At 35.3% G+C, this 22,664-nt stretch overlaps 1 protein-coding gene and 1 non-coding gene across 4 annotated transcripts in view; both read left to right on the top strand.

Annotated features, from left to right (window-relative positions):
- The window catches only part of NRDC (nardilysin convertase), an 89,518-nt gene that overhangs the window by 37,739 nt on the left and 29,115 nt on the right, over positions 1 to 22,664 (top strand). For 2 of the 3 annotated variants that reach the window (NM_002525.3, NM_001242361.2), the window contains exons 2-11: positions 475 to 763; positions 3,369 to 3,502; positions 4,551 to 4,620; positions 4,777 to 4,858; positions 6,819 to 6,972; positions 13,120 to 13,193; positions 15,607 to 15,702; positions 17,203 to 17,325; positions 19,434 to 19,491; positions 21,116 to 21,189. In NM_002525.3, the coding sequence (NP_002516.2) occupies positions 475 to 763; positions 3,369 to 3,502; positions 4,551 to 4,620; positions 4,777 to 4,858; positions 6,819 to 6,972; positions 13,120 to 13,193; positions 15,607 to 15,702; positions 17,203 to 17,325; positions 19,434 to 19,491; positions 21,116 to 21,189 (1,154 nt within the window). The remainder of the gene's footprint in view (positions 1 to 474; positions 764 to 3,368; positions 3,503 to 4,550; positions 4,621 to 4,776; positions 4,859 to 6,818; positions 6,973 to 13,119; positions 13,194 to 15,606; positions 15,703 to 17,202; positions 17,326 to 19,433; positions 19,492 to 21,115; positions 21,190 to 22,664) is intronic. The other variant, NM_001101662.2, reaches the window with a different exon arrangement.
- Positions 4,587 to 4,645, top strand: MIR761 (microRNA 761). The gene has a single exon (NR_031580.1). It is a non-coding gene; the product is annotated as a microRNA 761 (primary transcript).

Below are 22,664 nucleotides of genomic sequence, written 5' to 3'. Positions count from 1 at the left end.
AGAAAATCAGCAGTTTAATTTTGTGTGATTTTGCTTTAATATTAAGCTGACATGACTGTTCTGTATATTGAGGGATACAATTTATCTTAGCCTAAGTCTTCTGGTATGATAGAATGTTTAAATACTTACAAACTGAGAAATAGGGGAGGCTGAGTGGTGAGTTGCATATCTTTAGCTACTAAAATGTGTTTTTTGAATAGGTAAATATATTTATGTAGTTCAAAATTTAAAAATACAAACAGCGTATATTATGAAGTGTTCTTACCTTCATTTCCCTCCAGCTGTTCAAAAACTGATTAGCTTTTGGGGTTCCCTCTCCAGAGCAACCAATTTTATTAGTTTACAAATAGTTGTGTGTGTGTGTGTTTGTACTTTTACTTGGATTCTTTTTTTAAAATTCTGCTAAGCTGATTACTTGTATTGGTGTAAAGAACAGCTGAATCAAAATGTGTGATTTTTTTTTTCTCCCCCCAGATACATCAAATTACAGAATGGCTTGCAGGCACTTCTGATTTCAGACCTAAGTAATATGGAAGGTAAAACAGGAAATACAACAGATGATGAAGAAGAAGAGGAGGTGGAGGAAGAAGAAGAAGATGATGATGAAGATTCTGGAGCTGAAATAGAAGATGACGATGAAGAGGGTTTTGATGATGAAGATGAGTTTGATGATGAACATGATGATGATCTTGATACTGAGGATAATGAATTGGAAGAATTAGAAGAGAGAGCAGAAGCTAGAAAAAAAACTACTGAAAAACAGGTGCGAGTCATGTCTGTTTTCTTCTAATTTGGGAATTCTTTGGGTAACTTCTAAACTCAAGCTTTATTTTTTAATGGCAAAAAGGAAGTATATAGTTATCTTTTGGTCTTCAGTAAAGGTCTATTCTGTATCAGGATTACATTTTGAAAACATTTTCCTCCAATTATAAAAGTAGTAAATGCTCATTATATAAACTAATGGAATATAAAGAAAACAAAAATATAAAAATCACCCATAGCTATATCTCTCAGAGGTAATCAACACTCAGAGGTATTTGAATTTATGTGTATTTGTATACATTATATGTTTTAAAAACAAATACTGGTAGATGAGGAGCTGCAGAATTCTTAGCCTGGATTAGAGAAATAAGAGTATGTTATCCTTGGTGAGACTGGAAAAAGAAGAAGAAAAGAATGGGGCTAGTGTGAAATCTTTACATGGGCCTAGGGCTCTAAGAGTTATTGTATGGGTGGCTTCTATATAGATAATTAGATAATTGAGTTTGATTTAGCACTTTATATGGGAACGCAAAGGTCTGGACAAATAAGTACTTTGGAAGAGTTGAAATAGAAACTGGGCAGTTAAGCTTATTTAATATGTAACAACCATCAGTGGATAGATAAATAAGTCTTGATAGGGAGAATTTCTTAATATCTTTTGAAGAATACCTCCATTTTCATAGTAGGGAGTACCCAGAGGATAATTTTCGGAGCCAGTACAGTGGAATTGACCAGCAAAAGTTAGTTAAAGCTAGTTTCTTGAATATTGATAATATATTCAACATGGTACAGTCTACATACAAAGAGGCCGAGATGGGCAGATCACTTGAGTCCAGGAGTTCTGAGACTAGCCTAGGTAATGTGGTGAAACCCTGTCTCTCTAAAACATTAAAAAAAATTAGCTGGGTGTGGTGGCACATGCCTGTGGTTCCAGCTACTTGACAGGCTGAAGATGGGAGGATCACCTGAGCCCAGGGAGGTTAAGGTTGCAGTGAGCTTTGATTACACCACTGCACTCCACCCTGGCCAACAGAGTGAGACTTTGTCTCAAAAAAAAAAAAAAAAAGAAAAAGAAAAAAAGTGGTCACCCTTAAAGGTGGGAAGAGTTGAGGTATAAGTAGTAGATATGATTTAATAGTTATTCTTCTTGGAAAAAATTATTTTTTAAAAAGAAAGATTGTACCAGTTTTTTACTAAGTTGTTGGATTGAGTAATATTTTTAAGAAGCTTTTTCCTGTTTACTACTCAGATTATTAGTGATCCTGTTTTTGGGTAGCATGATAGACCAAGTATTAAATAGTTTTAACTTGGAAGGCTGTAGAGATGAACATCAAAACACTGGGGGAAAAAAAGGTATATATATGTCACTTGATAGTCTGTATGCTAAGGTCTCTATGAACAGATTGGAAATTAATAGATTCACTTTTAACTTAAAATAGATCTCATAATTCCAAATAGAGCATTAATAGGAAGAAATTATAAAAGTCACAAAAAAAAAGAACACTGACAGTCAGGAAACCTGGGTTCTACTTCTGGCTCTGTTCCTTTCTTTCTGCGTGATTTTAGGTGTTTTCATTTTCTTTCTTTTTTTTCTCAGTTTTAAAACAAGAATATAAAATTCTGAGGCCTATTTTAGCTCTAAGCCAGACCATGTTATAACTTCTTAACTGAATACTTCTTATCTATACTTTTTTTCTATATCTTTCCATCTATCTGTAAGTAGCTTTTCCCATGATCTGACTTGTTTATATTTCCTATTAACTGACAAAGCATTTAAAAACAGTTAAAAATTGTCTCGACAGGCATTTTAAATGTCAAGACATTATAAAATACTTTAGATTTATACAGCAATTGTGAACACCTTTGACAAATGAACATGTCTGTTCAGCCTTTTTGGTACCCCTTTTTATTTTGCTTAGGTAGATCAAATTCTAAGTTGATCTTTTCTAGCAGCAGGGTCAGAGTCTAGTGATCGTTTTTAAAATGGCTTAGATGCTACCTTTCTTTTCTGAGAACTCAGTGTGATATAATCCTTATAAGATATTGACAGCTAATTTTATGGATTATCCTACCGGGACAGTGGAACCTAAGTAGTTTGAAGACGAGAAATTGTTTTGATTCAGAAGCAATGGGTTCACTAGTGAAAGGAAAGATCCCACGATCGTAAGTGGTAAATGTTTATATTTGTTGAATAACTCTCTGAAAAAAGGAAATAAAGTAGATTAGCCTTGGTAAGAGGTGGCTTAAGAGTGGTTTTATGATCTAAGTTTTATTTGAAAAATGTGTGAAACTTGTTTAAGGTAAATGTGAGAATTAATAAAGGAATTGAGAAGAAAGATATTTGATCGTTTTTTGAATAACATTTACCTAATTAAGAAGTTAACTACTTTTCTGAGGCATCTTTTTTATCCCTCTCCGTTTTCCTCCTCCCAAAAGAAGTTGTTCTTGATTTTAAAAGTTTGATAAATTAACAAGGTTGAAATTTGAATATGATATACATTGAATTAAGATTTGTTCAGGGCTTTCTTAATTCAGTTCTCAAGTATGAATTTCTCAGGTCTGAATTTTTTAGGTAGAAAATTCTCAAGTATGAATTTCTTTTCTAGCAATTGCAGAGCCTGTTTTTGCTGTGGTCAAAGCTGACTGATAGACTGTGGTTTAAGTCAACTTATTCAAAAATGTCTTCAACCCTGCTGGTCGAGACAAGAAATCTTTATGGGGTAGTTGGAGCTGAAAGCAGGTTAGGCACCTATTAAAACATCACAGAACAGGTTAGATTGTGGTTTGAAGAACTGGATATTCCCCAATGTTTTAACTGAGTTTATGTGCCTAAGTCTTCAAAATGGGGTTTATAGTATCAAGTGAGGCTGTTTGGTTCTTCTGAAAACACACTCATTTTCTGACACATGGCTAGACTTTATGCCAGGTACATGCTATTTTTGAAAAGCTCTTTTTTAAGAGGTAACTGTTTATTAAAACAATCTGTTTCACCAAATATGTTAGCCCTGTAAAATTGACATTTACAAAAGTTTGAAGAAAACAAATTTGGGAAAGTTAATAATTCGCCTTTCTATCTTCAAGGATTCAAATTGACCGTTTTTTCTCCTTTTTTTGTCTTTTAACTTACTGTAATTATGCCCCAATAGTTCGGGTGCAGTGGCTCACGCCTATAATCCCAGCACTTTGAGAGGCTGAGGTGGGAGGATTGTTTGAGTCCAGGAGTTTGAGACCAGCCTGGGCCTCATAGCAAGACCCCTGTCTTAAAAAAAAAAAAAAAAAAAAGTCCCAATCATTTTAAGTGCAGTTTGGTGTACCTCTTGGCCATCAATTTTGTTAAAAACTCTGATTTTCCCAAAGTATTGGGAGAATATATACTGATAAGTAATATATGCTGTATATCTTCAATTAGAAGTGAAGAACTAAAAAGCCTCTTTAAAATTTAGTTATACTTTTTAATAGCTACCGATTTTATCTTTTTTTATCACTTACTATTTTTGTTAGATGTTTTCCTAAAATGTTATCTTATTCTATCTTAACAAAATTTTCTAAGTTACATGTTGACAGGTTTCACATCTAGTAACTGAGTCACTCAACACAAAGCTTTTAATTGCTTAGAGATCTTCAGAGATATCTATCTAGATATGTTACTTCCGCAGATTTCCAAAATCTAGTAATTCAGGGAAAAAACTTGGTTCAGAATTATGAAATGCTGACATGAAATGATATTTGGGTGGGCTGTCCAGTCCCTCTTCCCTTTTTTTCTGTCTGTTTCTGCTTTTTTTCCTTAGGTCTGCACCTGTTCAGCATTTGGCAGGATGGCAAGCGGAGGAGCAGCAGGGTGAAACTGACACAGTTCTGGTGAGTTTCACTTTGCTGCTCCTCCTGATTCTCAGGGAAAGAATTTTGTTACTCCTATTGGAAAACATCCATCTCCAAATGAATCCTTAAGATAAGATGCGAATATTATTCCTTTAGGGTTGACTCAACTATTTGTATGTGTTCTAATTACTCCAGTCTGCAGCGGCTCTTTGTGTTGGAGTTGGGAGTTTCGCTGATCCAGATGACCTGCCGGGGCTGGCACACTTTTTGGAGCACAGTAAGAATTTGTAAAATATCATTCCTGGTGTGTTTTTTTCCCCCCTCCAAACTTATATGAATTGATATCAAAGATTAGCAAGTGATTTGACAGAAGTATGATATATTTAGCAAGAGAAAAGGCTAAGAAAAAATCCTTGATTTATGAATATCGTGGGGGAAACAATCTGAGTGTACTTATATTGAGAGTTAGAATGAAACCACACAGAAAACTTTTAAACTGTAGATGTCACTATTGTTGAGCTATGTTAAGGCCAACGGATCAGGAGATGATTGCCATTTTCTAGGAAATGACCAGTCCTGGGGAGGGCAGTCCCTTCCAGGGTTAGCAAGGCCCCCAGCCAAACATCAGAAATACAGGAATTCCCTGGGTGAGGTGGCTCACGCCTGTAATCCCAGCACTCTGGGAGGCTGAGGTGGGTGGATCACTTGAAGTCAGGAGTTCGAGACCAGCCTGGCCAACATGGTGAAACCCCATCTCTACTAAAAATACAAAAATTAGTTGGGCGTGGTGGCATACACCTGTAGTCCCAGCTACTTGGGAATCTGAGGCAAGAGAATCATTTGAACCTGGGAGGTAGAGGTTGCAGTGAGCTGAGGCTGTGCCACTGTACTCCAGCTTGGGTGATAGAGCAAGACTGTCTCAAAAAAAAAAAAAAAAAAACAAGAAACAAAAAAAACCTAGAAATTCAAAAGGCATGATTAATATAAAAACAAAACAATAGAAGCTTTTCATTTAATTTGGAATGTACCTAAATAAAACTTACACGGGGCCGGGCGCGGTGGCTCACTCCTGTAATCCCAGCACTTTGGGAAGCCAAGGCAGGTGGATCACCTGAGGTCAGGAGTTCGAGACCAGCCTGGCCAACATGGTGAAACTCCATCTCTACAAAAACACAAAAATTAGCCGGGCATGGTGGCGCACACCTAGAGTTCCAGCTGCTCTGGAGGCTGAGGCAGGAGAATCACTTGAATCCAAGAGGCGGAGGTTGCAGTGAGCCGAGATCACGCCATTGCACTCCAACCTGGGTGACGGAGCGAGACTCCAGCTCAAAAACAAACAAACAAACAAAAAAACTCTATGTGGATGTTATATAGTTACAAATATTTATTTTTATTTTACAAATATTTATTTTAAATTACTCTTTTTTTAATGGTCTGGTTTTCTAAAGTATTTGAGGGTATACTTCTTACTTTGTGAATTTTTATAGTAGCCATTAATCTGCATATGTTTGTGCTTAAATTTTAATCTCCTTAAATTTAATTGAAGAGATTAAGTTGTAACAGCAGTAGCAGTTAATCTGCATATATGTTTGTGAATTTGTTTGAATTTTAATCTAATTAATAAAAGGTGAATTTTAATCTATTTAGACTTAAATATATTTGTGATCTCTTTATAAGTTATATGTTCGTCTTATCTTTCTTTAAAGATGAAATTTTTTTTTTTTAGTATAAAAGTAACATGAGCATAATAGAAAGTTACAAAATCAAATGTAATGAAGAAAGTATTATTTAGGGTCAGGTGTGGTGGCTCACGCCTGTAATCCCAGCACTTTGGGAGGCCGAGGTGGGCAGATCACTTGAGGTCAGGAGTTGGAGACCAGCCTGGGCAACCTGGTGAAACCCCATCTCTACTAAAAATACAAAAAATTAGCCAGGCATGGTGGCAAGTGCCTGTAATCCAGCTACTTGGGAGGCTGAGACACTTGAACCCAGGAGGTTCAAGAATCACTTGAACCCAGGAGGCAGAGTTTGCAGTGAGCCAAGATTGCACCACTGTGCTCCATCCTGGGCAACAGAGTGAGACTCTGTCTCAAAGAAAAAAAAAAGAATTCAGACATAACCATTTGATGTGTTGGTCTATTTTCTTTCAGTTTTTCTATGCATATAAGAAAGTTCATGTGTGATAAAAATATTTTCTATATCTTTGTGTTGTGTGACTTTGTGTTCTTTCCATTTAGTGGTATTCATGGGTAGTTTGAAATATCCAGATGAGAATGGATTTGATGCCTTCCTGAAGAAGCATGGGGGTAGTGATAATGCCTCAACTGATTGTGAACGCACTGTCTTTCAGTTTGATGTCCAGAGGAAGTACTTCAAGGAAGCTCTTGATAGGTAACTAACTCTAAATATACTTTAATTTTAATGATCTAATGGCACTTTGCAAATGTAAATAGAGTGTTCTTGTACAGTAGAATTGTCACAATACTTTACTTGGACCAGTCATGGTGACTCATGCCTGTAACTCAAGTACTTTGGGAGGCTGAGGTAGAAGGCTCGCTTAAAGCCAGGAGTTTGAGACCAGCTTGGGCAAAATAGTAAGAACCTGTCTCTACAAAAATAAGTAAATAAAAAATTAGCCAAGCATGATGGTGAGTGCCTGTAGTCCTTGGCACTCAGGAGGCTGAGGTGGAAGGATTGCTTGGGTCCAGGAATTCGAGGCTGTAGTGAGCTACAGTCACACCACTGCACTCCAGCCTGGGTGACAGAGTTTGTTTGAGACCCTGTCTCAAACAAAACTTTATTTGGAGAAAAAAGCTGTTAAACTGTTAAATACACTTTGACTCTTGTTCTATTATATATAGTCTTTGTATTAAAGATTAAAATAAAAGTCAACACCTTTTGGGTTTTATTAATTTTATTAATTATGTATTCTCTGTTGACTCATTATGACTTTTTTTTTTTTTTTTTAAGAGATATGGTCTTGCCATGGTGCCTAGGCTGGAGTGCTGTGGTGCAATTGGCCATCAATTGCATGAATGCATGGCTCAGTGCAACCTCAGCCTCCCAGGCTGAATGTGCCACCGCTCCCAGCTAATTTTTAAATTTTTTTGTAGAATTGGGAGTCTCTCTGTATTGCCCAGGCTGGTTTCAAACTCCTGGCCTCAAGTGATCCTCCTGCCTCAGCCTCTCAAAGTGCTGGGATTATAGGTGTGAGCCACTTTGCCCAGCCACTTAAAAAACAGAATTTAGTAGAAAATATGGAGAAACAGAGAAGCAAAAAAGGGATAAGATTGCCTCCAACTTTATAATCTAGAGATAACCACCATTAATGTTTTGGTATAGACCCATCTATATTTTTTAAAGTATACCGATCATATTGTTCATACCCTTTTATAATTGTTAATTTTAAGCAAGATATATCATTTTAACTTACATAATTTATAAAACATGATTTTTAGTGATTGTATGTTATTTACATTGTATAGAAGTACCATAAGGTGTTTAATCAGTTACATATGATTGGACAGTTGAGTTGTTTCCAGTTTTCTAATACTGTGATGATTATCCTGATCTCTGTGAATATCCTTAATTATTTCTATTAAGTTCTAAGCAGTGAAATTGCTGAGTATATTTGCAAATATATTTTTAAGACTTTTTTTTTCTTTAAGCTTTTGAAATTCATTGCAAAATTGTTTTCCAGAAAGTTTGTCAGTACAATAGTAGAAGTTTGAGATTACAGGGTTGCAGACCAAAGTCTACCCCGGAAAAAAGTAGAAAAGTAGAAAAAAGTTATACCTAATTCTAGATATATGCAAGATTGAAATGTAAAAGAAAAAAGAAACCTCACGTTTGTCTAGTATAATGTAAGCTCCTTCAGAGCAGGAATTTTTATCTATTTTTTGTTGATACATCTGCAAATCAATAATTTGGTAGATACTCAGATTTGTTAAATGAATTAATGCAGTTCCTTTATAGCAAAAATTACCATAAAATCAAAAGATAAATGACCAAAAAAAATTTTTTTTAAACATGATAGAGATCTAATATTTTTTTTAAAAATTGGCCTGGTGTGGTGGCTCACACCTGTAATCCCAACACTTTGGGGGGCCGAGGTGGGCGGATAACTTGAGGCCAGGAGTTCGAGACCAGCCTGGCCAACACGGTGAAACCCTGTCTCTACTAAAAACACAAAAATTAGCTGGGCTTGGTAGCATGTGCGTGTAATTTCAGCTACTTGGGAGGCTGAGACAGGAGAATTGCTTGAACCTAGGAGGCGGAGGTTGCAGTGAGCTGAGATCATGCCATAGCACTCCAGCCTGAGTGACAGAGTGGGACTCTGTCTCAAAAACAAAATAAAATAAAAAAGATAAAATAAAAAGAAATTATCTCTTTTCTTAAGAGATTAATTTGATCTGGAAAAATCCTTTGGACATATTCCTATAAATTGGAAGCATATGCCACTATTTATTTATTTTTTTTTTGGAGACAGTCTCACTCTGTTGCCCAGGCTGGAGTGCAGTGATGTGATCTCGGCTGACTGCAGCCTCATGCCTATAATTCCAGCACTTTGGGAGGCCAAGGTGTGTGGATCACTTGAGCCCAGGAATTCGAGACCAGCCTGGCCAACATGGTGAAACCCCATCTCTACTAAAAATACAAAAATTAGCTGGGTGTGGTGGCGCAGGCCTGTAATCCCAGCTGCTTGGGAGGCTGAGGCACGAGAATTGCTTGAACCTGGGAGACGGAGGTTGCAGTGAGCTGAGATCGCACCACTGTACTCCAGCCTGGGTGATGGACCGAGACCCTGTCTCAAAAAAAAAAAAAAGAAAGATAAATCAATGAAGGCAATGCAAATGATGCCTGAGATGATCTTTCCTATAAATTTAGACAGGATCAGCAATACCTTCAGAGGAGACTTTAACCATACAACTTTGAAGAAAACTGCATCTTTACTCTTGTTACAGAGTTCTCAGCTCTTAAGTTTTACAGAATCCAAACAGGTCTTTGTATGTGTGAAGAAATCTTAAGCAGAAGACAAGTTGAATTTTTACAACTTTATATTTAGCTTTGTCCATATACAAAGAAGGAAAAATAACTGATTTTATTGGGAAAAAGGATAGGCAAATGGTATGTATGATATGAATACATTCTGGCCATCTCAGAGATGATGAAATTTGGTATAAAATGTAGTTAAGAAATTTGTTTTGTTTCCTTTTAAAGAGTTGTTCTAAATATGTTTTGTACAAGGACTGCTTCAGCATCTAAGAATATCACCTTACACATTTATTTTTATTTAAAAAGAAAGCCACCCAATAAGAAAGCCACTGCATTAATAGGATAAATTAATGAGAATATCAAATCATAAATTTATGCCATAAGTAGAGCATTATAGGGTGCAAATACTATAATAAATGCTATAATATTATACTTCTACAATGTATAAGGAAAAGCCTTTATACGTGTGTAATATGCTCTTATATAACATGGATTAAGTACCTGTTTTTAATAGGTTAGCAAAATCTGATTCCCTCACACAGGCCACATTGTTTATAAGTATCTTTTAAATAAACAGCTGAGGAAATGACTAAATTTTTACTCCAGTTAAGTAAGTGAGCATGGAAGCCGTCTTTACCATGGTGGCGTCTTCTATTTTCAGTAAATTTGAACTTTATTTTATCAGTATTTCATGGTAAGAGTGACAAATATCAAAGCTTAGGATGTCCACTTCTAACAGGAGACCCTCCCCATTATAAGCGGGAATACAAAATCTTCACTTTCAGGTTGTGAAAAAGGATGAGGCGTCCTGAGTAGTTATAGCCTAGATTCCAAGTGCCTGAGTATTCTGGGGAACCCCAAGTCTTGATTGTAGCTTCATGGGCAGAACTGGTAGTGTTCCCAGGAGCCTGGGAGAAGCAAACATAAGGCATCTCAAAAGGAAGATGCCTTCCTTCTAGGCCCTAAATTGTTACAAATATTTTTTCAAGTAAAATAACCAACATTCAGTCAAAAATAAGCAGGTACTCAGGAAAATAATACAACATGATTGAGAACAGATAACACAAACAGATTCTGAGACATCTCAAGTACTGGCATAGTTACACACAATTTCTAAAATAATTATACTTTCTATTTTTTAAGAAATAAAGGCCAGACGCAGTGGCTCATGCCTGTAATCTCAGCACTTTGGGAGGCCGAGGCGGGTGGATCACGAGGTCAGGAGTTTGAAACCAGCCTGGCTAATATGGTGAAACCCCATATCTACTAAAAATACAAAAATTAGCCGGGTCCGGTGGCGGGTGCCTGTAGCCCCAGCTACTTGGGAGGCTGAGGCAGGAGAATCGCTTGAACGTGGGAGGCAGAGCTTGCAGTGAGCCGAGATAGTGCCACTGCACTCTAGCCTGGGTGACAGAGCGAGACTCTGTCACAAAAAAAAAAAAAAAAAGAAATAAAAGACAAATTTGAATATACTTGCAAGGAATAAGAAACTGTCAAATATGACCTAGGAAATTTGTAAAATGAAAAGATACATCTTGAACTGAACTATGATAAAAAAAATTGAAAATGTCATGGACAAGTTTAAGAGTAAATAGAGTTGAAGATAGAATTAGTAAGCCAGAAGATAAGACAGAAGGAATTAACCCAAGTATAGCATAAAGAACATATATAACCCAAATATAGCATATAGCACAAAATTAAAAATACAAAGAATATGAAGCATAGAGGATAGAATGAAAACATCCCATGTATTTTACTTGTAGTTGTAGAAGGAGGAGAGAGAAAATTGAAGTAGAGACAACAGTTGAAGGGTTGATCACTGGAAAATTTTCAGAACCTGTTGTAAGACATCAAATCAGAGGTTAAAGTCTAATAACTTCCAAAAGGATACATTAGAAGAAATATGGAAAATTTTTGCCAGATAAAGAGAAAATTTTCTTCAAAGGAAGATGAGTTACACTTACAGATGACTACTCAACTTCGTGCTCTGAAGGAAAATAACTACCAACTAATAACTAGAATCATAAATTGTACACTAAATAAAAATATCTTTTAAGAATGTTAGTAGGCTGGGCATGGTGACTCATGCCTATAATCCCAGCACTTTGGAAGGCCAAGGCAGGTGGATCACTTGAGCCCAGCAGCTGGAGACCAGTCTGGGTAACATGGTGAGGGAAAAAAATTAGCAGGGCATGATGGTACATGCCTGTAGCCTCAGCTACTTGGGATGCTGAGGTGGGAGGATCACCTGAGCCTGGGGAGTTCAAGGCTCCAGTGAGCCGTGATGTGCCACTACACACTCCAGTCTGGGTGACAGAATTAAATAAAATTAGTTTCATTATTTAAGTCAACAGAAATTATCCAACCCATCATTAATCATACCAAGTACTGAAAAGAAAAAAAATGCCCCAATATATCTAGCAGGTAGTTAAGTTAAAAGTTACCTTATTGCAAGCAAAAGTTAAAAGTTTTTTAAAGAAGCCTGAGCAATATAGGGAGACCCTGTCTCTATAAAAAATTTAAAGATTTAAAAAAAAATGGTAGTGCACACCTCTAGTCTCAGCTACTTCGGAGGTTGAGGCAGGAGGATTGCTTGAACCCGGCAGTTTGAGGCCGCAGTGAGCAGTGATTGTGCCACTGCATTCTAGCCTGAGTGATAGAGTGAGACACTATATCCAAAAAAAAAAAAAAAAAGTTTACTAAACATTTTAGGAAATTAATTTTTTAAATCATTCTATTTTGCTGGAAAAACACCAATACACCAATCTTTGAATAATTTTTAACAATTTAATTGCATTGCTATTATGTATTTATATAAGTGGTAATTTGTATATGTAATTTGATACATCACAGTTTATATAATTAAAAATTAATTTAAAAAGCAGATGAAATTATAAGATTAACTTAAATACCAAGTCTTTAAAATTCTAATTTAACTTTTAACTGAAACGTTTTTAGTCATCTGTAAACTTGCATTGAACTAAAAAAGTAAGCTTTATATACTCTATAAAAACATGGATATACATAACATTACATAAATAGACTATCTGTGATATTACAATTTTACAAAGGAATGAATAGGAGAACATTTCCGAAAAGGCTCCTAAGGGTTGAAAATGGAAATAAAAAGGGTTGATAAACATTGGGTTAGAAATAGGTATATAGGTAATAAAACTATAAAGAAAAGGAGAGAAATTACTGCTATACATTCAGGATATTTCTTGAGGTAAGGGTAGGAGCTGGGTGCTTCTAGAGTGTTGACTATGGTCTGTTTCTTCACCTGGGTGGGCCACTCAGGTGTAGTTTATATGTTCATGTTTTGTTAACTTTTCTGTATGATTGTTATTAAATATATTTCACAATGAAAAAGTTAAAGTAACATGTAGATATTAGTTTAAAATATAGAAATGCAGATTATTTAGATTTTATATACTTAGGATTGTGAATTAAATCTCCAACTTAGTAAGTTTCTTAATTAAAATAATAGATGTTGATTGATGAAAGTGAACAAAAACGGAAATGCCAGTTTTGTTTTTTGTTCAGATGGGCGCAGTTCTTCATCCACCCACTAATGATCAGAGATGCAATTGACCGTGAAGTTGAAGCTGTTGATAGTGGTAAGAGGAGTACTTTATGTGTAACTACAGTTTTTTCCTTCATGAAACCAGTTACTTATTACATTTATCCTTCTTTATCTCTAGACCATTTTATCTTTATATTTTAAAGGACTAAATTGAAATATGTGTTATGTTTGTTCCTGAAGTCATTAAACATCTAATTCAGTGTAGATTTGAAGTAAATGAAAAGGATGGTGGATTTTAGTTTTTTCATCCTTTGTTTTTCGAAGGTTTTACCATAGGGGCTAATCTTTTGAGATTCAAAGATTGAAGACTATAAAGGAAAAGAATGTGCTTATATAGGGTGAGGCTTCATTATAGATCTGTGCTATAAATATTCCTTAATTACATAGTACCAATAAATATCACCATTGTATATTATCCCTGCTTGATTTATTTAAGTATTAGAAGCATTTAATACTAGACTTGAGGGGACTTCCAGTTCATATAGGTTAGGCTTGGCTTATAGCCACTGCAAGTCTCTGTATTTGTTCCACTTTTTGTAGTATTTCCCTCCTTGGTTTGATGCAGTGTCTAGTTCTAATAATGATGTAAAGCATTTACTAGGCTGAGTAAACTACAGATGGCTAGAGTGATCTATCTGGAAGTCAACAGACCCCTGTTTAACTTACAGAAGTGTCTAGCTGTGGCATTCAGTTTATTTGTAAAAAAGGATGGAATGGTTAAGCTCCTCCTAGCTGTAGTAGCTCCTTGGAAATCAAGGATTTATTTTCTTTATTTTTTTACTTGCCTACCACAGTGTCTGTTTTACCTTAAACCCAGTTAAATACCTGTTGAATGGATGAAAAAACAAAACAACTAAGGATAACTAAAAGCACTTTTCATATTTTGAGACTCAAGAACTGTTATCTGTGTCTTAAATGCTTTCTAGTATGTTTTTCTTTATACAGTTTCTAGAGTGGGTTGACACCAGTGTTTAAACAAGCAGACCTTTAATTAGATTTTACAATTTTAAGCCAGAATATATTTTATTATGCTTTGAAAAATTATGCTGAAAGAAATATATATGTATATACACACACAGTATGGAGTTTTGGTTTATGCTGAACTAAAGTAAAAATTCTGTTGTGCTTTTGTTCATGATCTGCCTGCTTCGGCCTCCCAGAGTGCTGGGATTACAGGTGTGAGCCACTGCGCCCGGCTGATAAATTATTTTTAATAATTGACTTTTTATTTTAATGATGGTTTATACTCACATAAACATATATAATTGCCTGCATAGTATGTCTTAGTGATTGAGATGAAAGGCATGTCCAATGCCTTTTTAAATCTTAATTATGTGTCAAAGTGCAGTCTCTATTTTTATTTACTTACTTCTTCATTTTTAATGTTTGTTTCCTTTCCAAATATGGTCTCTAAGTGTTCAGATATTTATACTCTATTTTTATCAGTTGCAAGGGGTCTTAAATCACTTTTCGTAGATATGTTTACATGTCTGCTATATTACCTGTTATTGCAGAAACATGGTGGCTTAAAATAAAACATTTATTTTCTTACAGTTTTGGAGGAATGGAATCAGGTACGTTAGATAACTTCCTCAAGGTTGTTGAGCTTAGTGTCAGAACTGCAGTTCTAGCGGTTTTTAGTCCATTTGGGCTGCCATAATGGAATCCCACAGACCGGGTGGCTTATAAACCACAGAATTGTTTCTTACAGTTTTGGAGGCTGAGAAGTCCAAGATCAAAGAACTGGCAGATTTGGTGTCTGGTGACAGCCTGCTCTCTGGTTCATAGAAAACTGCCTTCACTCTTTGTCCTCATACAGCAGAAGGGGCAAGGGAGCACTCTGAGGTCTCTTTTACAAGGGACTAATCCATTCATGAGGGCTCTGCCCTCATTACCTAATCATTTCTCATTGGCCCCTACCTCCAAATACCATCACATTGGGGATTAAGTTTCAACATAGAAATTTTGGGTGGGGGGACACAAACATTCAGTCTTTAGCGGTAGCTAAAGGTATTTCTGACTTCAAAGTGGATTGTTCTTAGCCATCATACTTTATTACCAACATAGTTGGTTTTGGAAGAAATTTAAACAATATATATGACCAAATTCCCAGATAAAAGGATTAATATTTTATTAGCATTTTCATCAGTAAAATCTTGTACATAGCATCCTAGAGCTGAAACTTTCAGATTATTAACTACCTTGTGTTTCATTTGAAAAATAAGAGTAAGACTCTGGTAAGCTGAATTGATTTACCCAAAATTACAGGTCATATTAAGTCATAGAGCCAGGCCTGGATCATTGAGTTTCCCACTTCAGTCTTATAACACGTGATTCATGAAGTTAATTTTGTTAATTCCTTGCTTTCTGTTCTGTAAGTTTGAATTTCCATATAATAAAGGAGATACTGAATTTTGTTTTATTATGTGTTTATTTAAAATTGACAGAATATCAACTTGCAAGGCCTTCTGATGCAAACAGAAAGGAAATGTTGTTTGGAAGCCTTGCTAGACCTGGACATCCTATGGGAAAATTTTTTTGGGGTAAGATACTAAATACATCATCTTATTTCATATTTTCTAGTTAAGATTTAGAATAAGAAAAGTTGATAAAGAATTGAAAATTATAAAGCTAGAGTCCCTAGGTACCTTTTACCTTTTAGGATAGCTAGTTAGCCTTTCAAACGCGAAGTTGTTAAATATGCCTCTATTTGGTTCTCTAACAGTGAATATAGCAAGAGTAACACCTAACATTTTGTGAATGCTTTTTAAGTGCCAGATACTGTGCTAACACTACATGAATTATTTCATTTGATCATTATCACAATGTTCAGAGATAGGTACCATTATCATCTCCATTTAAAGATAAACAGGTTTAGGCCAGGCGTGGTGGTTCACACCTGTAATCCCAATGCTTTGGGAGGCTGAGGTGGGAGAATCACTTGAGACCAGTTCAAAACCAGCCTTGGCAACATAGTGAGACCCCATCTCTATTTTAAATTTCAGTCAAGTTATCTCATTTGTTTAAATCACACAGATAGTAAGTGGTGGATGTGAGATTTGAACATCTGTTTATCTGATTATAAAGTCTGTGCTCTACCTCAGCCTGACATTTCCATTTGTCAACAGAGTTAGCAATAGTTTCTGTAAGAGTTTTTGAACTGCGACTTAATTTTGTTCATCTAGTAAACTGTTTAACTGGTGTCTGTTTTTCATAATGGCATTTTCTTAGTGGGAGGATTTAGTTACAGCCTCATATTAATCCTGTTGACTATAGAGTAAAATTTAGGATGAGATGATCTGAATTATTCTTTAAAGGGTGTTTTGTTTCCCTGTATATTTCTGTACAGTTATATACATTTTATAGGGCATTCTTGCTTCATGTGTTTTATTTTTAAGAATTAGATAGCCGGGCGCGGTGGCTCACGCCTGTAATCCCAGCACTTTGGGAGGCCGAGGCGGGTGGATCATGAGGTCAGGAGTTTGAGACCAGCCTGGCCAAGATGGTGAAACCCCGTCTCTACTGAAAATACAAAAATTAGCTGGGTGTGGTGGCTCATGCCTGTAGTCCCAGCTACTTGGGATGCTGAGGCAGGAGAATCGCTTGAACCCAGGAGGTGGAGGTTGCCATGAGCTAAGATCGTGCTATTGCACTCCAGCCTGGGCGACAAGAGCGAAACTCCGTCTTTAAAAAAAAAAAAAAAAAAAGAATTAGGCAAAAATATTATTAAAATAATTAGAAAGAACCTGGATTGAATACTGCTAGACTAATTATTAAGCAAGGAAGCTTAGGGAGTTATTGTCTGTTTTTTTAAGGTTTTCCCAGAGATTAATTCCTTGGATATTAAAATATACTTCAGAATTGTTTCTTATGCATTTTTGTCTTATTAATATTAATACATTATTGCACACTGGTTCAATATTCTTGAGTCCCTTGGGTTATTTCATTAATCATGTATGGTAGCAAAATATGCATTGATGATGTAGAAGACTTTTAACAAAGTTAACTTAGTTATATCTATAATTTTTTTCATTCTTTTATAGGAAATGCTGAGACGCTCAAGCATGAGCCAAGAAAGAATAATATTGATACACATGCTAGATTGAGAGAATTCTGGATGCGTTACTACTCTTCTCATTACATGACTTTAGTGGTTCAATCCAAAGGTAACTATTAATTATGGCTCTTAGAGTTACCTTGAAGTAGCGCTTTCTTAGGATTTGTTTGCCTGTATCAGTGTTGTAGTGTACTATTAATTACTTTAGTGCTTGACCTTAATACAAAGTAAAGGAAATCAGAACTTGGAGATGTCACGTAGCTAGTGGCAAAGCTCAGGGAAACACAAGATGATGAGATTCTCAGGCAAATTTTTTTCTCTTACAGAAATAGGTCTTATCTGTAAGATAAGATATGTAGGCTGGTCTGTGAATGTACTAATATTCTAATAGGTCATGAATTGATCTTTTAAGCCACCTTCAGCTGCAATTGTATCTGTGGTTTTACATTTACTCTATATCGATTACAAACTCTTACAGGGCAAAGTGTTGGTTTGTTCATTCTTACATAAGGTCCTGTAAAAATGGCATGATTAATTGAGATTGACATGGTGACAATTTAAGAATTATCTTAAATATAAAATACTGATGAATACCTCTATGGCAGAACTATCTTAAATGTAAAGACTGATGAATATCTCTATTTTCCTTCTTTTATCATTGTCTTCAGTAACTCACATTCACTTTTTCTCATTAAGGAAATCATGGAAGCTTTCTTTTGTTTTCTTTACATTTCAACCTACTTGTTTTTCAAAGTTAGTAAATTGCTAAATTATTCCTTTTAACATACCTTATAGTTTGCACATTTCTATTTGAAATGCTAATCCTCTCACCCTAATGTGATTCCCCTTTTTATAAAGTTTTGCTTTTTACATTGTCAAAATTAAGATCAAATCTGACTTGGCTCTTAGATGTAAAACATTTTCGCATTTATGATCAAAATGAGTTCACTAAAGTTGACTTGAAGGTAAAGTTTCGTGGTATGGTAGATTCTTCTGTTCAAATTGCTTTTAGGTTCCTTTTACATTTGCTAAATTAGGCAATTCCATATTTGGTATTCCCCAAGTTAATTCACAATTTTTGATTATTGTGTTTGCAAATAATTCCATGTGTTTTTCTTGAACTAGTTATTCTGTTTCTTTTGTATTCTCTTCCTCTATGATGGCAGATATAAGAGCTTATTAATGCTTATTTCAAAATTTTAAAACAAGTCCTAGAGTTTTTGTTTTTTAGCAAGACAGGGTTTTGCTCTGTCATTCAGGCTACAGTGCAGTGGCACAATCATAGCTCATTGTAACCTCAAATGCCTGGGCTCAGGTGATCCTCCTGCCTCTGCCTCTGAGATAGCTGGGATTACAGGCCCCAGCCACTGTGCCTAGGCTAGAGTTTTGATGAAAACTATGTACAATGTAGATTTCATAGGATTTAGATTTTTAGCATTAATTATACCATTTAAGAGTCAAACATCTATATAAATAATATAAATTCAGAAATGATTAGTCTGAATCCCAGGTTTTATATAATGGGGTTCTCTATTGAGAATTAGTGAAATTCATGTGCCTGGTAGAACTAACAAATACTCTTCAATGATGGTCACTCAGATAAAGCAAAAAGTTTCCTTTTTCGTTTAGATCTGTTTTTTACTATAAATTTCCAAAGAATTTCTTACTAAATATAAGAAGTGAATCAAAGGAAAACATAAATCATATATATGTATGATATATATATATATAAAGCCTAAAAAGAAGACCTATGAGTTAAAACCTCAGCAAGTGTACATTAATGTAAAACAAGTGGAATATAAAAGTACTGATGAGATGGCAAAAAGGAGAGGTTAATGTAATATGGGTTAGTACGGAAAAACCTTCCAAGAGGATGTAAGTTTTAGAATGGGCGTAGGATGGTTGGCATAATCTTATCTCTTGGTCCTTCACACTAGCCTAATGCTAAAGATATATTTTTTTGTTAAACTTGTGTGCCTTTTCTGACTTTACCAGGGAGAAATAAAGGGGTCTCACAAAATTCTGTGTGTCGTAAGGTTTTCTTTTCTACTGTTATTTTTCCTGTTCATCCATTACTGGTTCAGGAGTGGCAAGTAATGGCCAAATTAAAATATCCCTTTGTTTTTTAGCTAAAGATCTCTGAGAAATCTAATTGCATTTCTACCTTGAATAATGTCATTGCATTTTCCTGTCTCTTCCCTGCCCTCCCCTCTCAAGAAACACTGGATACTTTGGAAAAGTGGGTGACTGAAATCTTCTCTCAGATACCAAACAAGTAAGATATTTATTTTCATACATCATACACCTTCAGAGTTAAAGAGACCATTATCTTGTATGAGTCCCAAAGGTTTTTTGCTTTTTTATTTTTACACAGGTGATAGAATTAAGACCTAAACAAACTTAATGACTGTCAAGATCACACAGCTTTTGAGTGGGTAAACTAAGATGACAAGCCAAGTTTCCATAGTTCAAAATTTACAGGCTTGTAAATGTATATAGTAAGCAATAATTCTGAAAAATTTATGCCTCCTTTTACATTTATTTAGAGCTTTTCTGTGATACGAAAGAAAATACTATATGAGAGGCAGAAGAATATGCACACTTACATCCCCCGTATTGGGACAAATTGTGTTCTGAAAATTTGTTTTTTTTAAGTCAGTTGTTTGGATATTGCACTGGTTTTCCCCATAAAAGAAGTAATCTTTTAGATGATGGCTGACTTTCCATACTGCCTGAAAAACTTACTTCATATAGTCAAACCAGATGTTCTTTTATAAGAAATTGTATGTCGAGTTTCAGTTCAGGATGATTTAAACATTTTTTCTCCACCTCAAATTCATCAAAATAGTACAAATATTTAAAAGATACATTACTGCTACCTTTTTGTTACAAAGTTTACAAAAAATTTAATTCTGAAGCAATGAAATCTTTCTTCCTGTACTTAGTAGTTTGCATTTTAACAAAATTAATGAAAACAGATATTTTTTCTTGCATCAGATGGGTAACCTGTGGATTTTCCCAATTAGTCTTCTAATACATAATTAGAAACCAGCATAAAATGTTAGAATAACTTATAATGACAACTGATTGGTTATTATTAATTTGGCTTTATATGAATTTCCATTGATAATTAGCAGTGCTTTTTGGTATGTAAAGGTAATCAAGAGCATGACAAATTTGTGGGGCTGTTTTTTCTGATTAGAAGTCTTGAGTGTGAACTATGGAAATATCAAATGTGAAACTTTAATAAAATCAGAGGTGTGTTTAATAGAGGAATTCATTAGGTTCTGTCAATCCCTGATGAGCATTAAAAAAAATCTCATATATTATTCACTAATAACTTTGGTTCCTTAATTAGACAGGTTAAAAATTCTTTGAGGCATTTAATACTAATTTGCATCAACTGTGTTTTGGAAGAAATATTAAAGTTACAATATCTTCAACCAGAGTAGAAGCCCCTAGGAGGGACCAAGTCTTTTAAATACCACAGTGCCTAATATAGTGCTTTATACCTAATATTCACTTCATGTATAATCGTTGATTTTAAAAAAGTATTATCTCTAGTTTGTTTCTTTCTGGAATGGCTTTGTCTAGGAGGAGAACTGAAATTAAATGAGGCTGATAGAGTCAGTAAATATTGGGGTGAGAGGGGGTCCTTTAAATTCATTCTCTATCTCTTGAGTTGTAAAGACTTTTGAGTTATTGGGCTGAGGCTAAGAACAGATTGTGTAACTGAAGATTTTGTGGCTGTGTTGCCATCTATTTGTTCATGCCTGGAATGCTTTCCAAGAAGGAGTATGTAGAATAGATTATAAATATCTCTCAGTTAGATATCCCTAAAGATATTGCTTATAAAGGCTTTTGCCAGTTAAATTTGTATGTATTTGTTTTATTTTCAGTGGGTTACCCAGACCAAACTTTGGCCATTTAACGGATCCATTTGACACACCAGCATTTAACAAACTTTATAGAGGTTTGTGAACCAAAAGTTTAAAACTGTTTGAAATAATGTTAGCACATTCTCTATAACCTAATTGAAGCTGCCAATTTTCATTGAAAATGAGAACACAACAGAAAATACAGCTGGGTTGGAAAGGAAGTAGATGGGCAATGGAGATCTAATTAATAATAGATAGCAGACCACTGACTAGCTGCAGATCGATTGATTCTGGTGCCCTGCTGCTACTTCAGTCTATTTCATGCTTTCTCCTTGTTTTACCTTTCTTCCCTTTTGTTCTCTGTTTTGTTAAATTTTCATTCATGTTTCATTTTATTTATATTCTGCTCTTTTGCCTTTAAATGAATAAAAATAGATGAGAGGGAAAACACTTTGGCAATCGTTTCCTTTTAAATTCATTGTGAAAGTAATATTTGCTAAATAAAAATATAAAATGTCAAGAAATGGGAGATAAATCACCCTTAAATCTTACCATGAAGAGAAGTCATTTGTATCGGATTTCTTTTTTTTTTTTTTGGAGACAGAGTCTCGCTCTGTTGCCCAGGCTGGAGTACAATGGCATGATCTCAGCTCACTGCTTCGCCTCCCAGGTTCAAGCGATTCTCCTGCCTCAGCCTGCTGAGTGGCAGTGATTACAGGCACTCACCACTATGCCCAGCTGATTTTTGTGTTTTTAGTAGAGACAGGGTTTCACCACATTGGCCAGGCTGGTCTCGAACTCCTGGCCTCAAGTGATCCGCCTGCCTTCGCCTCCCACAGTGTTGGGATTACAGGCATGAGCCACCACGCCCGGCCTCCAGATTTCTTTCTGATTTTCTAATAGGTATATTTTCTTAACAAAGTCGAGATTATAAAGTATATATATAATTCTGTCTCCTGCTTTGTTTCATTTAATAGTATACCTGTAATAACTACATAATGAGTTGTGTGATTACATTATAATTTACTTAACAATTTGCCTACAGTGAATATTGCAGAAACATTCTTAATTCACCATCTCTCTTTATTCTATCACGGCAGATTTTTTTTTCTGTTTTTACTAATTGCCTTAGGTATTCCCTCCTTCTTCACCCCGTTACCAGTCTCTTTTGCTTTCCCCTAATCAGTGACTGTTTTGTTACACGCTTCTGCTGCTGGCTCCATTCTGTTAATATTAAACTAACTCTTTCCAGAGACAACTTACTTTTTATTGTATTCTTTCTGGTTTTAGGTTTCCTCTTCATAGAATAATAGCATTGAGAAGAATCCTAGAGATACTTTAACCCAACTAACTCATTTTACTATGAGTAAACAGATTCAAAAAGATTTAAATGCAAGTGATTTTCTCAGGTCATGTAAGCACATATAGCAAGATAGTGGTAGGACTGAATTTCAGCCATGGGTCTCCTGACTCCTAGTTTTGTATCCTTTCTTGCAAGAAGAGATCCATACACAGCAGCATTTCATATCCTCATAGTTCTTTTATCCCTGCTTTCTCTACCTCTGAAACC

The sequence above is a fragment of the Homo sapiens genome, chromosome 1 (assembly GCF_000001405.40).
Source record: "Homo sapiens chromosome 1, GRCh38.p14 Primary Assembly".
In the NCBI taxonomy this organism is placed as follows: domain Eukaryota; kingdom Metazoa; phylum Chordata; class Mammalia; order Primates; family Hominidae; genus Homo; species Homo sapiens.
Note: the sequence above shows the minus strand (reverse complement) of the source record. Positions and strands in the feature narration are given on the sequence as shown.